Source organism: Homo sapiens, chromosome 18 (genome assembly GCF_000001405.40).
Source record: "Homo sapiens chromosome 18, GRCh38.p14 Primary Assembly".
Classification (NCBI taxonomy): domain Eukaryota; kingdom Metazoa; phylum Chordata; class Mammalia; order Primates; family Hominidae; genus Homo; species Homo sapiens.
Genome location: NC_000018.10, coordinates 64,877,870 through 64,896,679, shown reverse-complemented (window position 1 = coordinate 64,896,679; position 18,810 = coordinate 64,877,870). Strand labels below are relative to the sequence as shown.

At 35.9% G+C, this 18,810-nt stretch overlaps 2 long non-coding RNA genes across 5 annotated transcripts in view; one reads left to right on the top strand and one right to left on the bottom strand.

Annotated features, from left to right (window-relative positions):
* Positions 1–18,810, bottom strand: part of LOC107985178 (uncharacterized) — a 125,185-nt gene that overhangs the window by 54,963 nt on the left and 51,412 nt on the right. The window lies entirely within an intron of this gene.
* Positions 1–18,810, top strand: part of LOC101927404 (uncharacterized) — a 121,424-nt gene that overhangs the window by 96,358 nt on the left and 6,256 nt on the right. Inside the window, exons 5-6 of one of the 4 annotated variants that reach the window (XR_935581.2) lie at positions 8,615–8,688; positions 9,478–9,592. The exons of the other annotated variants lie outside the window; for them this stretch is intronic. This is a non-coding gene — a long non-coding RNA (uncharacterized LOC101927404). Of the gene's footprint in view, positions 1–8,614; positions 8,689–9,477; positions 9,593–18,810 lie in introns of those variants that run through there. 4 annotated transcript variants of the gene reach the window in all.

Sequence of the window (18,810 nt, the reverse complement as noted above, 5' to 3'; positions counted from 1 at the left end):
GGTCACCCAAAAGCTCCATCAGAGCTATCAAGAAAATTTATGTTGTTTTCATGCCTGCTAACACAACATCTATTATTCAGCTATAGATCAAGGAGTAATTTTTACTTTCAATTTTTATTATTCAAGGAATGCATTTTGTAAGCCTATAGCTGACATAGATAGTGATTATTCTGATGGATCTGGGCCAAGTAAATTAAAAACCTACTGGAATGAATTTATCATTCTAGATGTTATTAAAAACATTAGTGATTCATGGAAGGAGGTCAAAATATCAATATTAACAGGAGTTTGTACAAACTTAATTCCAACCCTACTGGATGACTTTGAGGAGTTCAAGACTTCAGCGGAGGAAGTAACCGTAGATGTGATGTAAACAGCAAGAGAATTGGAAGTGGAGTCTGATTATGTGACTGAATTGTTATAATCTCATGATCCAACTTGAATGAATGGAGTTATTTCCTATACGTGAGCAAAAAAGGTGGTTTATTGAGATGAAACCTACTATACATAACTGTATATAAAGAGACATATACATCATATATATACTTCATATATATCCTATATATACATATCAAGTATTTTTATTAATCTTTGTGCATGTGTGTATATATAGACATATATGTAGAGATATGTCTATAGATATCTGTATATATATACACCTTAATTTAAAAATACTCACATATAGCTTAAAATACTCATATATATGTCTATATATATATACAACTTAATTTAAAAATACTTTATTGTTATATATATGATGTACATAACTCTCTATATACAGGGTATATATATAGAGAGACAGAGACATCATGCTATTGCACACTTAATATACTACAGTATATTGTAAATGTAGTGATAATTTTTATATGCACTGGGAAACCAAAAAAGATTCTGTGACTCTCTTTATTGCAATATTTTCTTTATTGCAGTAGTCTAGAACTATTGCAATTTCTCTGAAGTATGCCAATATTCTGTTGACCCGAAGCATGTCACTGACTCCATCCACCCTCAAGCATGGTTATAATACAATGACTTGACTTGTTGGAGTACAGTTTTGTGTATATCTGCCACAATACATAAATAAGGGAAGTAAAAGACTGGTGAAGCTTGAATTCACTTCCAGATTTTTAGCTTTCAAATTTTATACTTTGCCTAATTAAGTCCATAAAACCTTTCTTTTGATTTAATCTCCTGTTCTTTTTTCAAGGGCTATTTTTGAATGAGTCTATAAAATTAAATGAGCAGGTAACTTCACATTTGTATTCTTGTAAATAGCTTCACCTTTTTTCCAATTCACATTACTGCTCCCTAGAGATTTTCTCATCTTGGGCAGCATTTGACTTTCATCACCAGGTGGAAATGCCATGTAAATAGATAGAAATGATGTTTCAGGGGCAGATGTGAGAGCAAGTGCTTGGGGGATCTCACTTGCTTCATTTTTCTTCTCTTCCAAGCCTGGTAAGACTTTTCATGATAGTGTGGTCTGTTAGGCCCTCATATTATAACCCTAAAAATGTCCATGTGCAAACCTAGTACAATACATAATTTTAAGTTGTGGCTTAATTTTAAATGAGTGCCATAATATATTTTACAGGAAAGCAGGATATAGAGAGAATATTAGGAAGAAAAAAAATAGCTTAAATGAAAGCTATTGAAGTTGGGACTAAATTCTACTTAGAAACAAGAAGCCTAACACAAGCTGGATGACATATTTTTAAGCTTTATTTATAATTAATACACTATAATCATACATATTTATGGGTTACAGTGTGAATTTTCAATACTTATATACCTTGTATAATGATCAGATCAGGGTAAGTAGCACATCCATCACTTTAATATTTATCATATCTTTGTGATGATGACATTTAAAATCCTTTCTTCTAGCTATTTTGCAATATAAAATACATTATTAGTTATAGTTACCTTATTGTGTAACAGAGTCCCACAATTTATTCTTCCCTATTTCTAATGAATTAAATCATAGAAAAACAAGATGGTTTTTAAATGGTTTTGCTGTGTCCCCACTCAAATCTCATTTTGAATTCCCACAGGTTGTGGTAGGGACTTGGCAGGAGGTAATTGAATCATGGGAGCAGGTCTTTCCTATGCTGTTCTTGTAATAGTGGATAAGCCTCATGATCTCTGATGGTTCTATAAGGGGCCATTTCTCTGCACAAGCTCTCTCTTTGCTTGCTGCCAGCCATGTAAGACATGACTTGCTCCTCTTTACCTTCTACCATGATTGTGAGACTTCCCCATCCACATGGAACTGTAAGTCCTTTAAACCTTTTTTCCTGTATAAATTGCCCAGTCTATGGTATGTCTTTATCAGCTACATAAAGACAGACTAATACAGTAAATTGGTACCAGTAGAGTGGGGAACTGCTGAAAAGATACCAAAAATATGGAAGCAACTTTGGAACTGGATAACAGGCAGAGGTTGGGGCAGTTTCAAGGGTTCAGAAAAAGACAGGAAAATGTGACAAAGTTTGGAACTTCCTAGAGACTTGTTGAATGGCTTTGAACAAAATGCTGACAGTGATATGGACAATGAAATCCAGACTAAGGTGGTCTCAGATGGAGAAAAGGAACTTGTTGGGAACTGGAGCAAAGCTGATTCTTGTTATGTTTTAGCAGACACTGGAGGTATCTTGCCCCTGCACTAGAGATTTGTGGAACTTTGAACTTGAGAGAGGATGACTTAGGGTATCTGGCAGAAGAAATTTCTAAGCAGCAAAGCATTCAAAAGGTGACTTGGATGCTGTGAAAGACATTCAGTTTTAAAAAGGAAATAGAGCATAAAGTTTGGAGAATTTACAGCCTGACAATGTGATAAAAAAGAAAATCCCTTTCTCTGGGGAGAAATTCAAACCAGCTGCCGAAATTTGCATAAGTAATGAGGAACCGAATGTTAGTCCCCAAGACAATGGGGGAAATGTCTCCAGGGCATGTCAGAGACCTTTGCAGCAGCCCTTCTCATCACAGGCCTGGAGACTTAGGAGGAAACAATGGTTTCATTTGCTAGGCCCAGGGACCTCCTGCTGTTTGCATTCTAGGGACTTGGCACCTTTTGTGTCAGCCGCTCGAGCCATGGCTGAAAGGGACAAAGGTACAGCTCAGGCTGTTGCTACAGAGGGTGGAAGCCCCAAGGCTTGGCAGCATCCATGTGGTATTGAGCCTGTGGGTACACAGAAGTCAAGAATTGAGATTTGGGAACTTCTGCCTAGATTTCAGAGGATGCGTGGAAATGCCTGGATGTCCAGGCAGATGTTTGCTGCAGGGGCAGGGCCCTCATGGAAAGCCTCTGCTAGGGCAGTGTGGAAGGGAAATGTGGGGTCAGAGCCCCCACACAGAGTCCTAGGCACTGCCTAGTGGATCTATGAGAAGAGGGTCACCATACTCCAGACCCCAGAATGGTAGATCCCCTGACAGCTTGCACCATGTGCCTGAAAAAGTCACAGATACTCAATGCCAGCCCAAGAAAGCAGCCAGGAGTGGGGCTATACCCTGCAAAGCCACAGGTGTGGAGCTACCCAAAGCCATGGGAGGCTACCTCTTGTATCAGCATGACCTGGATATGAGACATGAAGTCAAAGGAGGTCATTTTGGAGTTTTAAGATTTGACTGCCCTGCTGGATTTCCGACTTGCATGGGGCCTGTAGCCCCTTTGTTTTGGCCAGTTTTTCCCGTTTGGAATGGCTGTATATACCCAATGCCTATACTCCTGTCATATCTAGGAAGTAACTAACTTTTTTTGATTTTACAAGTCCATAGGAAGAAGGGACTTGCCTGGGCTCAGTTGAGACTTTGAGCTATGGATTTTTGAGTTAATACTGAAATGAATTAAGACTTTAGGGGACTGTTGGGAAGGTATGATTGGTTTTGAAATGAGAGGACAAGAGATTTGGGAGGGGCCAGAGGTGGAATATGTTTTAGCTGTGTCCCCACTCAGATCTCATCTTGGATTCCCATGTGTTATGGGACGGACCTGGTGAGAGGTAATTGAGTTATGGGGTAGGCCTTTCCTGTGCTGTTTTTGTGATAGTGAGTAAGTCTCATGAGGTCTGTCTGTTCCAGAAGGGGGACTTTCCCAATACAAGCTCTTTCTTTACTTGCTGCCATCCACTTAAGAGGTGACTTGCTCCTCCTTGCCTTCTGCCATAATTGTGAGGTTTCCCCAGCCATGTGGAACCATAAGTCCATTAAACCTTTTTTCTTGTATAAATTACCCAGTCTCGGGTATGTCTTTATCAGCAGCATGAAAACGGACTAATACAATGATCATATTCAGATAATAATCTTTTCAAACACATGTCCTCCTCCAAAGTTCCCATGTAAGGACATTGTTTAATTTTTCTTTTCAAATTAGGTGTCACTAATGTTTGTCTTAATGAATTCATCTATTGCTGTTATATTGGTTTCCTATTGCTAGTGTAACAAATTACCATAAACTTAGCAACTTAAACCAATTAACATTTATTCTTTTGCAGTTGTAGAGGCCAGATGACTGAAAAGGGTCTTACAATGTGAAAATCAAGGTGTCAATAAGGCTGGTTCCTTCTGGAAGCTCTGAACCTCTCTCAACCTCTGGTGGCTGCCAGCATTGCTTGGTTCTTGGCCATATTCCTGCAGTCTCTACTTTTATGGTTGCATTGTTTTCTTCTCTTCCATAGTCAAATTTCCCCCTGCCTTCCTCTTGTAAGGACTCTTATTATTGCATATTGGACCCATCCCTACAACCTAGAGTAATCTCTCCATCTCAAAATTCTTAATCACATCTGCACATTTTCTTTTTCTAAATAAGGTAGCATTCACAAGTTCTAGGGATTAGGATATGAATAACATGTTTTCAAGGGTTGGGTGAAGAGACACTATTCAGTCTACTATAGTTGTGTATCCCTGTATCTGAGCAATTCAGGATACTTTTATATTACAATAAAATTTTAAACAAATGCTGTATTTCCCTACTGGATGGATTTTCATTTAAGTAAAGAATATTTGAAAGCTTGTTGAAATTTGAATATTTGCAGTTACACAAATACTTGTCTTTCATTCTCTTTTTCCTTCCTTTTCAGTATTTTAGAATGTTTATCCCTGAAAATGAGAACTCAAAAGGTTTAATAACAATAATATACACAAGTAATTGTAATTGTGTTTGTTTCTTTGCCTCTATCTATGGAAAAATGTATTATTCTTATTCATGGGTTGAATTTTTTAAAATTAATTTTAATGATTGGGCACATATAGTTGGTGTTCATTTTAGTTTTTATATTTTTCTTCTAATCCTATCATACTACAGCATCAAGCATTATTTGGTTTTGTAACTCCACCTTATGATGATTTTTCTTTTTATGTGTTTTTATCAGCTTTTTAATAAAACAATATCATGAGTGAGTATGTAGAAAAAACAGCACAGAGCAGAGTCACTGTTACTGGCAGGTTTGTAGAATTTCAAGGCTATCTTCTCTAATTCAGAAGGGGAACTTTAGCATTAAAATGTTTTTGAAAGCATCAAATCAGTGTTTCACTCTCCGTTCTGGACCTATCAACGTAAGCAAAGTATGAAAAATAAACTCCCACAATAGTTATATTCTTGTAGATGAATATTATATATTTATAGAGCAATGAGTTAATCTTGTCTGGAAGCATTCGTTTAGAACTATTCCTGAGGAAAAATAGGGAAGTGATAATACAAGTAGGAAATTTCACAGATCTAGAAATTAGGAAACAGGTTCTCATCCCAATTTCAACATTAGTCAGTTTTGTAACCTTGTACAACATTAGGTTTTACTGGTTCTCATTTTTTCTGATATAAAAAGTAAAAAGACATAAACATGTTGTCTCCCACATCTTTGTAATACTAAACTATGTGACTTTACTGACTGCATTACTGCTACAGGTGCCTTTCCTCGTCACATTTTCACACACAGCAGAGCTCTGTATTGTTTAGTGACACTGAATGATTGCATTAAGATGTGGTACATCATTGAGGATTTGGAAGTGTGAAACCACCCAAAACCAAACAATTCATCCTTTCCTTGCTTTTGCTTGGAGTTCACAAGAAGTAAAAAAAAAAAGGAAGTAAACTACTTGCTTTGATTTGTTGTATGCTGAGGAAGGTTGATAGGTTCTTATTTTTCCCAAGCCAAATCATTGTTCCTAATTCTATATCTGCTGGAGAAGAAACATTTGAGTTACTGGATTCATGTTTTTATTTTAGTTCACTCTGGGCCCCAAATTTCAGGTGAACCATGGTATTTAATTCAGGCTTTATGACAATGATACCATGGAAATATTTCTAAAATGCCAAGCAAACATCCAAATACATTGCCTCTGTAACCAGACACTAAGATTATTGTATCTTCTCCTTTTGTACATGTATTCTCTAGCCATACCAACATTGTACACTGTAACAGATGTGCAGATGTGCTCTCTGCTTGGAAGACATAGGTGTAACAATAAGAACAATTTTTTTATTCTGTATAAAGACCTTTCCATCCTCAGAATATCTTGCAGGGAGCATTCACTGGGACTAATTGTCGCAAAAAGCAGAAGCAGATTTTTGACCTCTCTTTTCAGGGACTGAGGTGACAGGCCCTCCTCCTTCCCCTTCCTTAAGTTAGCAGTGATTAAACTCCTTTCAAAGAGCCAGACTCAGACATTATTATATCAAGACTTCCATTCTAGGCAGCGGTGTCTTTTCTTGTTCCTTTTTCTTTTTTTTTTTTTTTTTTCTTTTTCTCCCCAGAGAAAGTGAACAAGAGGCAGTTTTAGCTTGAACTAGACTCTCTGTAGTTCCCTGATCTTTATTCGGGTTTCAGACCTGTACTTGCAGTGCCTTATGCTGTGCTTTGACTTTGCAGACTCTGGGGGAGAAGCTGCTTCAGTTACCACTGAACGCAAAGGTAAAACTGACCTTATAATTTGTGTTAAAAAACAAAAGACACAGTTTCCTTTAAGAAGTACCAGTGGACATGGAATGGAGTTTTATGATAATAGTTTTAAGAAGAATTATGATTTAAAGATTGTTATACATTTTAGAAAGCCATTTCACAGATATTATGAAACCTGATCCTCTCAATGCCTCGGAGAGATAGGCAAGATATTTTTAATCCTTACTTTGCAAATGTGAGAACCAAACTCAAGGAGATTAACTGAATTCCCCAAGGCTTTGCTTCTAGAAAGCATCAGAATTGAGCAAGAAATCCAGAAGATTTTGTCCTCAATTCAATTATTTACCCATTTCACTCATTGCCTTATCCTCCATATGCTGCCTCCACTAGCACGTGTTTCCAGACTGTCTGCTAATTTCATCTGCAGAGGTGGAAAGTATTTTCAGCCGTATTTTAACCACTATTTTACTTTAAGGAGACATTCATCTATTATGATTTACTGCAAGTTTATAAGATTTTATCTGTTAGTTGGGCATTTTGGTCACTAAATAATATGCCGCAATTTATTGATGAGACATAGGAAGTGAATGCAGGATGGATGACCATGGGACTCCACAAACATGTGGTTCATCAGGTAAGTAAACAAAAAGATTGTACGTAACAGAGGCCATCGTGGGTCTTCTCTACTGCCACACAGTTAAGAGGAGTCAGCCATTTTCTGTGTTTGTTTCTTTATATCTTATTAATACATCTTCCTCTGTTTCTTCATGGTGTATGTCCCCACATCATTTCAGATTGACCATCACTGGAAACTAACAACCCCACTTGGGTCCTACTATATCATAACTTTCAGTTTAAATGCCTACTTCTGTCTGGTGATTTTTTTCTGCAATATGTTGGTGAAGATTGTCAAACGAGAATCTGGCAGCACAGATTCTAGTTTTCTTCATTTATTGAAGGCTTTTAACACAGAGAAAATTTAGTATGTTCCAGGGACTGTTTCAGTTATTAGGGACAGAGCATTAAACACACAGAAAAATTATCTTCATTTGTACTCTTGTATTTCAGTAATATAAATTGCTTTTCAGCTCAAGCCTAATGAGAAGGTACAGACAAAGAAAAAAAAAGGAAAGCAAGAGAGTGTCATGATATAGAAGCATAAAAGCTAAGAGAAAAGTCTGTTTCTTTTTTAATCCTCAACACTTTTCAAGCTGCTAGATTTGGTGTTGGCAAGAACATATGGAAGGAAATATACAGAGATCATAGGTGGCATCCTTTTTATTAGAATGAGATATGGGACAAGCTCTGGAATTGAAAGAGCCACTCTTGCTTATGCATACTTCGGTAGTTATGGAGAACTATTTTATTCTTTCTTCTAAAACTTTAAGTTTGGCAGAACTTTAGTCCTTTATCTAATGTACATATGCATGGTGCCCCTTTAGAAAACTGGTGAATATCTAATTATCCTACACAATTTAATTAGTAGAAATAATATTTGAATATGTTAGGTTAATCAGGGGGGTGACAAGAGCAGAATTACATTTCTTAAAAAAAATAACTAGCTAGTTGATAGACGTCAGTGCTTAATTCAAGAATGCACTAAGGAGACAAAAAAAGAATTGATAATAGTTGCCTGGAAATAATAATAATTGCTACTGGAAAAGAGAAGGAAGGGAGGTAGTCAAATTAGGAGATTATTTATGCATCTTTTTGTGCAGATGTGCAGGCATTATGAAGAGAATTATTGAAAAGATGGTCATGATCAACATAAGTAAAGGTCACTGAAAATCTAGTAAGTATGTAATGTGGGCTATCCATTGAATTTATTTAAAGGGGATCATTGTCATTGATTATTTTTGTTAGATCAAGTTTAGTGGTGGGCATAGAGATAACAGTAAATTGTAATGGGGTGAGGTATGAGATGCATGGGTGGAAAACAATTCAAGGAACCAAGATAACTCTCTCATGAAGTTTGGCTATGAGGAGAGGAGATATGTAAGGACAAGATATGCTCTACTTAATAGAGAATATAAGGTAAGTGCCAATACTACTCCTAACAAAGAACTGTTTCTGTCAGTTGTCTATTCCCTTTTTTTACTAATCAAGTTCTTTTTATCAGCTTATTCCTATAAGTATTTAAATATGTTTAATCTCTGCCATTTTAGAAAATTCCTTTCTCAAAAACTAACTCCTTACCCAGGCTTATAAATCACTTTCTTTTGTAAATTGACTTAATTTTCTGCAATCCACAGCTACTCCTTACTTTATGGTCAATAGATTGAACATCTTTTAGTACTTCATGTATGCTAAGCTTTCTGTCTCACCTCTAAGTCTATGCATATGCTAGTTCTTGAAACACTCATTTCTTTTCTCCTGCATAATTTCTATTTATTCTTCAGATTTCTTCCTAAATACTACTTCATCTCAGAAATATTACAAAGCCTAATTAGACTTTTCATAAATAGATGTGTGAGGGGTGGTGGCGGGATTTTCATTGCCTGGATCCAGTGTTCTCAGAACTGGACTGCAATGTGAAGTTCTTCTTACTCATTCTTCCTTCCTTCCTTTTCTCCCCACACAGGTGCCAGACCTATGTCATCTTCCATTGCATTGCAATTATATCATTGTATGAGAATCACAGCATTAAATTATTGTGGCAATTGTCATGTAATGACTCATGGATCACATTTTGAAAACTGTAATATAATAAATGGCTATTCATGGTTTTAAATTCTAAGATAACTCACTGCTATCTTCTACCTCTATCTTTCTGACTTGCTTTTTAACCCATACATAACACATTCACATAAGTGAATTTCATCTGTTATCTTGTGTATTTGTCAGATATAAGGTACCAAAAAAAAGTGACACTTCTGCTCTCCCAATCCAACATCAAGGATTAAATTATTCTGGACTTAATCAGCTTTATTTCCCAGATGTAGGCTTGTAACTTTAGGGTGAATCCTAATAGCACAAATATGTTCATGCTCAACTGTGAGTTTTTAAAATATTGTAGAAATATTGGAGGAATGTTATACTTGACAACTAAGACATATGTTTCTCATATATAGTTGCTGGAGCAGTGCATATGTTGGTATATAAATAAGTATGGATATATAAGTATAGCTACACACACACACACACACACACACACACACACACCCCCTTCATTGCTAAGGTTTAAATGATTTCATATTTAAAAGCTTTATAGATACTAAAATTTACCCCATCAACTAAAATTTATCAATTTTAAACCTTTATTTGTAACCTTGGGTAAATCATGAAACTCTAACTGCTTTAGTTTATCATCCGCAGAATGAGGACTCATTGTCTTAGATAAGGTTTCACATCCTTCCCTGGTTTAATTTTCCATGGTTTCCAAACACTGCATGTTCTCACTCATAAGTGGAAGTTGAACAATGAGAACTCATGGACACAGGGAGGGGAACCACACATCAGGGCCTTTCAGGGGGCCGGTGGGGGGGTGCGGGGAGGGAGAGCATGCAGGGCTTAATACCTTGGCGATGGGTTGATAGGTGCAGCAAACCACCATGGCACACATTTACCTATGTAACAAACCTGCACGTCCTGCACAAGTATCCCAGAACTTAAAATAAAATAAAATTTAGAAATAAATTTTCCATGGTTTTATGACATCATTTAAAAATGGATTATAGGCCTGGTGCAGTGGCTCATGCCTGTAATCCCAGCACTTTTGGAGGCTGAGGAGGGCAGATCACCTGAGGTCAGGAGTTCAAGACCAACATGGCGAAACCCTGTCTCTACTAAAAATACAAAAACTAGCTGGGTGTGGTGGGGGGAGCCTTTAATCCCAGCTACTCGGGAGGCTGAGGCATAAGAGTTGCTGGAACCCAGGAGATGGAGGTTGTGGTGAGCCAAGATCATGCCATTGCACTCCAGCCTGGGAGACAAGAGCGAAACTCTGTCTCAAAAAAATAAAAGATTAGAAACCACTGATTTCTTAGCCAGAGAACATCAAAGATGGTTTCATTCTTTGTTTTTGTTATTGATTCAAGGTCATCAGTAGGAAAGCTCACCATACTACAAAAAAAATTTTATAGTTCTTCTGTCTTATTTTTTGATAGCAGGCTGTCAAATTGTCATTTCTGCTATCACTGAGATGAGCTTTTTCAGCTGTCATAATTCCCAAGTCCTTTTTGCTCAACTCTTTCTTCATTGCTTCAGATTGTAAAAAGAAAAAATAGTGAAAACTGAAAACAATAGTATGCTAAATTACCTATAGTAACAAAAAATTAAAGTAATAAAATTTAAAAATGCCTAGTTTTAGAGACAGGATGGCCAATAGCTGTTTTAGGTGTTTGGTGTTTTTTTCTTAAGTTTGACTTTGCTACAGAAAATTAAATTTCCTGGAAAACAAGCAACTAAATAAGTAGCATAGGACTGGACATTGACTTTCAGATAATATATTCAAATATAAATGAGAGCCTTCACATTTTATACATGTTGTAGCATCTCCTTGAAAAAGGTGGCCAGAACTTAAATTAACTTAGTTTTATACTTCATTTAAGTAATGCACTAGATTTTTAACCTTAGTTAAGTGTGCTTATTGTATTTATATATTTTTATTGATACTATTATTTCTTCCATTTAGGCAGTATTTCTTTCTCCAAATTACCCCTACTAAGAACTATAACATTATGAAGCAGACAAACACTTTATATTTTTGTAAAGTATAAAGTAGAGGCAAAATGAAGAACGTGACTTGCCCAAGATCGAAGAAATGATGAATTTAAAATTAAAACCTGACCATTACATTGGTGCAAAAGTGATTACTTTTAATGGCAAAAACCGCAATTACTTTTGCAACAACCTAAAACTTCTGCTTCTTATAACTACTTTCTGCGCTGATCATTAGTCTCCTATTGTCAGCTGAATTCATGAACTGTAGAAGACTTAAACTATCAATATTCAACATCATTGATGTAGATTCTAAGAGCATTAGAAATATGTACTCTTAAGAAAACCTAATTACATTATTTGAAAATATTAAATAGATATTTTCTCATACTACAATGTTAAAAGATAAGTATCATATTTGACACTGTTAGCTAACAAGTGGTGGAAACTAACCTTTATGTAGCGTTTCAGCCTTAATCTCAATCACCCACTGATCGATACTTACATTTATTAATTCTACTCTGCATCCATTATTATGCACAGTACTTAACTAGATTTTCAAATCTAAATGGAAATCTGTTTTCGTGGAGCCAGGTCATATATTCATCTAAATCTACTTGTAAGCAAAAGGCTGTCATTAGCACATTTACATTGCTATATTATGGCTTCAACTGTTGATATAATGGAATAAAACTTATACAGCTAATCTCAGCAAATATCTACTTATGTTACGGGAAATTAAAACACTGAGAGATAATTGTCACCTTCTGAAACCAATGATTATTTGCTTTGAATTGAGAATGGCAGTCTGAATGTAGATATGAGATAGACATGGAGGCTTTTCAGTAAATAAAGACATACACATGTTGCAGGCACAGAATCATTTGTCTCTTTCAGCTATAGGCTGTGGTCTTGGGCAAGTTAAGTGAGTATTTTTGTAATAATGTACTGTGTTATGGAGGTTTTGCTGTTGTTACTGGTTTCAAAAATATTCATGGAGATCCATAATCAGTAAACAGTTATAACCCTTCATTTTTCTTGGTTTCCTACATATATCACAAAGTATGCAAACTGCTGTATATGAGAAAATCAATAAATGCTATGCTTAGGTGATGAATGTTTACAATTTACTTTTTCATTGCTACTGTGTTCTAATAAAAACAACATCGAAAAAAGAAAAGAGAGGTTACAAACATAGAAAAGATACCTGCCCCCAATCAAATATTTTCCTAGTAGTTAAGTATCATAGCATTTTCATTGCTAGCATTTTACTTCATTGCACATAAATTTCAGACTTCACACAACTCATCCATCCCATTCAAAAAGAAAATGTATAGTTCCATAAAATTGAAATGAATGTCATTACACAGTTGGGTAAATCATTTGTGCATTCAACAAAAGCAAACATTAAATATGAATAAATACAGTTGGGTTATCTGTAAGTCTGTCCCAGAAAACTTTTTTATGCATGAAGTATCTCAAAAGTTAAACTACCCAGTGTCATAATACTTTATATAAAACAGCTGCAGAAAGTTTCACATGTTTTTGAAAGGTAGACCAATATCATATGCATTTGCAATATGGCAAAAATTTTTCATTACATATGAGTGCCTTTTGAAGCCTCTAGAGTAAATTCTTTTCTGCATTGGGAAAACTGTCATACCATTAAAGTAATGAAAGCGATCCCATTTCTCTCCTGCTGAAAATATAGCTCCCTATAGTAACAAGGCAGTAAGAAATCATTTCCTTTGTTAATACTTAAAAAAGAATACTTTTTTTTAACAATCCTAAGGAATAGATAGAATAGAGTAATCCCAATAGATATAATTTTTCTATTTGAAAGCAATGACATGCATAATATTTCTTTTCTTCATGTATTATTGTTGCGGAAAAAAAAAAAGTCTCAATGTGTACTTCCCAATGTAAAGCCTGGTTTCTTTCCTTTGGGGTTGTATTTACACTTACTAAGCCAGACGTAAACGGAAGTGCCTTATAGAGTAGCCAAACAAAGACTAGCAGCTTATAATTCCCTGCTGCTCAAGGTCACACAATGTTGTGAGAGCTTTTTGTAAAGACTAAGGTCCCTGGGCCAAGGCCACTTATTTTGATATAATACCATTACTCCCTTCTCCCTATTTAAATCACAACTTATTTTGAGTGCCATTTAAGATAGATTTTTTTTCCCACTGTCAAGGGAAGACCAAATACATGTTTGGAGAACAAGACCTTTAAAAATAGAAGCTTAGAGGTCAGATGCAGTTGCTCATGCCTGTAATTCCAGCAGTTTGGGAGGCGGCGGCAGGAGGATAGTTTTGAGTCTAGGAGTTCAAGACCAGCCTTGTCAACATAGCAAGACCCTGTCTCTATAAAAAACAATGAATAAATAAATAAAAATGAGAGCTTAGAATTGATACATGTAATAGTGAAGCATGCAGTCCAGAGCTAAGTCAGATGATGTCACATATGGAGCTCATCCATTATTTATTTTTCCTCAGCTTTATTGTGGTATAACTGACAAATATAATCTGTATATATTTAAGGTGTACAATATAATGTTTTGATATATGTATACATTGTGAAATGATTACCACGATCAAGCTAATGAACACATACATAACTTCACATAGGAACCATTGTTTTTGTGTGTGATGAGAACACAAGATGTACTCTCTTAGCAAACATCTAGTACACAATACCGTATTATTAACCATAGCTATCACAGAGTTCATTAGAACTCTATAATTTATTTATGTTATAACATTCTTACACTTTGATTGACATTTTCTCACTCCCCTCATTTCTACCCTCTTTGCCCCTGGTAACCAACATTCTACTCTTTGCTGTAATGAGTATGGCTTTTTCAGTTTCCACATATAAGTGAGGTCATACTTGTCTTTCTGTGTCTGTCTTTAGCATATTGCATTTAGCATAACGTTCTCCATATTCACCCAGTTTGTTGCAAATAGCAGGACTTCCTTATTTTTATGGCTGAAAAATATTCCGTTATAGATAGACAGATAGATAGATAGAAAGATAGATAGATAGATAGAAAGATAGATAGATGATAGACAGACAGATAGATAGATAGATAGATAGATAGATAGATAGATAGATAGATAGATAGATAGATATAGAGAGATAGGGGTGGGATCTCCAGAGGTGGGATTGCTGGATCATATGCTAGTTCTATTTTTATACTGATAAAGATTCATACTGTTTTGCATAATGGTTCTACCAACTTATATTTCAACCAAGAGTGTTCGAACATTCTCTTTTCTCCACACCCCCATAAACACTTGTTATCTCTTGTTTAATATTAGCCATCATAAAAGGTATGAGAAGATAACTCATTGTGGTTTTGATTTGCATTTCCCTGATGATTAGTGATATTGAATACCTTTTATATACCTATTGACCACTTGTATGTTTTCTTTGCAGAAATATCTATTCACGTCTTCACTAAATTTTTAATCAGGTTATTTGTTTTTATGCTGTTTAATTCAGTTTTATAAGTGTATTTTGGATATTAGCTCCTTATCAGATATATGGTTTGAAAACATTTTTCCCATTTTGTAGATCTTTTTCATATTGGTATTATTATTATTTTTTTTTTGAGACAGAGTCTCTCTTTGTCCCCCAGGCTGGAGTTCAGTGGCATGATCTCGGCTCACTGCAATCTCCGCCTCCCTGGGTTCAAGCGATTCTCCTGCCTCAGCCTCCTGCATAGCTGGAAATACAGGCACGTGCCACCACACCTGGCTAATTTTTTGTATTTTTAGTAGAGATGTGGTTTCACCATGTTAGCCAGGATGGTCTTGATCTCCTGACGTTGTGATCTGCCCGCCGCAGCCCCTCAGAGTACTGGGATTACAGGCGTGAGCCACTGCGCCCAGCCAAAGTTCATTTTTTTACCCTATGGATTGTTTCCTTTGCTCTGCAGAAGCTTTTTTTTTTTTTTTTGATTTATTTTTTTTTTATTATACTTTAAGTTTTAGGGTACATGTGCACATTGTGCAGGTTAGTTACATATGTATACATGTGCCATGCTGGTGTGCTGCACCCACTAACTCATCATCTAGCATAAGGTATATCTCCCAATGCTATCCCTCCCCCCCTCCCCCCACCCCACAACAGTCCCCGGAGTGTGATATTCCCCTTCCTGTGTCCATGTGATCTCATTGTTCAATTCCTACCTATGAGTGAGAATATGCAGTGTTTGGTTTTTTGTTCTTGTGATAGTTTACTGAGAATGATGATTTCCAATTTCATCCATGTCCCTACAAAGGACATGAACTCATCATTTTTTATGGCTGCATAGTATTCCATGGTGTATATGTGCCACATTTTCTTAATCCAGTCTATCACTGTTGGACATTTGGGTTGGTTCCAAGTCTTTGCTATTGTGAATAATGCCGCAATAAACATACATGTGCATGTGTCTTTATAGCAGCATGATTTATAGTCCTTTGGGTATATACCCAGTAATGGGATGGCTGGGTCAAATGGTATTTCTAGTTCTAGATCCCTGAGGAATCGCCACACTGACTTCCACAATGGTTGAACTAGTTTACAGTCCCACCAACAGTTTAAAAGTGTTCCTATTTCTCCACATCCTCTCCAGCACCTGTTGTTTCCTGACTTTTGAATGATTGCCATTCTAACTGGTGTGAGATGGTATCTCATTGTGGTTTTGATTTGCATTTCTCTGATGGCCAGTGATGATGAGCATTTTTTCATGTGTTTTTTGGCTGCATAAATGTCTTCTTTTGAGAAGTGTCTGTTCATGTCCTTCGCCCACTTTTTGATGGGGTTGTTTGTTTTCTTCTTGTAAATTTGTTTGAGTTCATTGTAGATTCTGGATATTAGCCCTTTGTCAGATGAGTAGGTTGCAAAAATTTTCTCCCATTTTGTAGGTTGCCTGTTCACTCTGATGGTAGTTTCTTTTGCTGTGCAGAAGCTCTTTAGTTTAATTAGATCCCATTTGTCAATTTTGGCTTTTGTTGCCATTGCTTTTGGTGTTTTAGACATGAAGTCCTTGCCCGCTTTTTACTTAAATCTAATCCCATTTGTCTATTTTTACTTTTGTTGCCTGTGCATTCACTACACGTAATCTTAGCCAAAAGACTGAGACGTGATGCTTTTGCCTGTGTTTTTGGTGTCGTATCTAAAAAAAAGAAAAAAGAAAAAAAAATCATAGCCAAGACAAACATCAAGGAGTTTTTTCCTGTTTGCTTCCTGCAGTTTTACATTTTCTGGTCTTAATGAGTAAATCCTTAATTTGTTTCAAGTTTTATGGTGTAAGCTAAAGAGCCACTTTTATTCTTTTGTATTTAGATGTCTATTTGTCCCAAGACAATTTGTTGAAGAGACTAACATTCCTTATTTTGTATTATAGGCACCCTTTTCAAAGACGAGGTGACCATAAATGTGTGGGTTTATGTCTGGGCTCTCCGCTCTGTTCCATTGGTCTGTTTTTATGTTCCATGTGTCTGATTTTATGCCATTGTCATGCTGTTTTTATTAATATACATTTGTAATGTACTTTAAAATCAGTAAGTGTGATGCCTCCAGCTTTGTTCTTATTCAAGATTGCTTGGGCTATTTGGGGTCTTTTGGAGTCTTTTAAACTTAATGTTTATTTTTTTCTATTTCTGTGAAAATGCCACTGGAATTTTTAAAGGGATTGCACTGATTCTGTGGGTCACATTAGGTGGTATGGACATTTTGATAATACTAATTCTTTCAATCCATGAACACAGAATATCTTTCCACTTGTTTGTGCCTTCTTTAATTTCATTTGTCAATGTCTTATTGTTTTCATTGTTCAAACTTTACCTCCTTAAATTGATTCCTAAGTATTTGATTCTTTTGGATGTTATTTAAATGGGAAAGTTTTCTTAACTTCTTTTTCAAATAGTTCCTACTTAGTGTGTAGAACGGCAACTGACTTTTGTATGCTGACTTTCTATCCAGCAACTTTACCGAATTTCTGTATTACTTCTAACAGTTTCTGTATTACTTCTAACAGTTTGTTGGTAGAGTGTTTAGGGTTTCTGTACATAATATCATGATATTATGATGTTATTGGCAAATAGAGACATTTTACTTCTTCCTTTCCAATACAGATGCCTTTTTTTTCCTTGCCTAATTGCCTTGTCTAGGACTTCTAGTTATTATATTAAACAGAAGTGATGAGAAAGGAGATCCTTGTTTTGCTTCTGATAGTAGAAGAAAATCTTTCAACTGTTCACCATTGAGTATGATAGCTGTGGGCTTGACATGATATTTATTATGTTATGATATATTCCTTTTATACTTAATTTGTTGAGAGTTGCTTTTTAATTATGAAAGGTTATGAACTTGTTTTATTATTAGTTTTGTCAAAGGCTCTTTCTACATCTATTCAACTGATCATATGATTTTATCTTTCATTTTGTTAATGTGCTATATCATTTTTATAAATTTGCATATGTTGAAACAGTCTTGCATATCAGAGATAAATCCCATTTGATCATGGTGTATGATCCTTTTAATGTGCTGTTAAATTCAGCTTGATAATATTTTGTTAACAATTTGCATCTATATTCAACAGAAATATTGGCTTGTGATTTTCTTTTTGGCAGTATTTTATCTGGATTTACTATAGGGTTAATGCTGGCCACATACAATTATTTGTAAATGTTTCCTCCTCTTCAATTTTGTGAAAGAGTTTGAGATGGATTGCCATTAATTCTTCTTTAAATGCTTGTTAAAATACACCAGTGAGGCCGGGCGCGGTGGCTCACGCCTGTAATCCCAGCACTTTGGGAGGCCAAGGAGGGCGGATCACGAGGTCAGGAGATCGAGACCATCCTGGCCAACACGGTGAAACCCAGTCTCTACTAAAAATACAAAAAATTAGCCATGCGTGGTGGCGGGAGCCTATAGTCCTAGCTACTCGGGAGGCTGAGGCAGGACGATGGCGTGAACCCGGGAGGCGGAGCCAAGATCGCGGCCACTGCACTCCAGCCTAGGTGACAGAGTGAAACTCCTTCTCAAAAAAAAAAAAAAAAAAAAAAATACACCGGTGAAGCCATGAAGTCACACGCTTTTCTCTGTTGGGAGGTTGTTGATTTTGTTGATTACTGCTTCATCTCCTATCCCATTATAGTTTTTTTTCAGGTTTTCTGTTTATAATTCATTCTTGGTAGGTTGCATGTTTTTAAACACTTTATCCATTTATTCTAAGTTATCCAATATGTTGGCATATGACTGC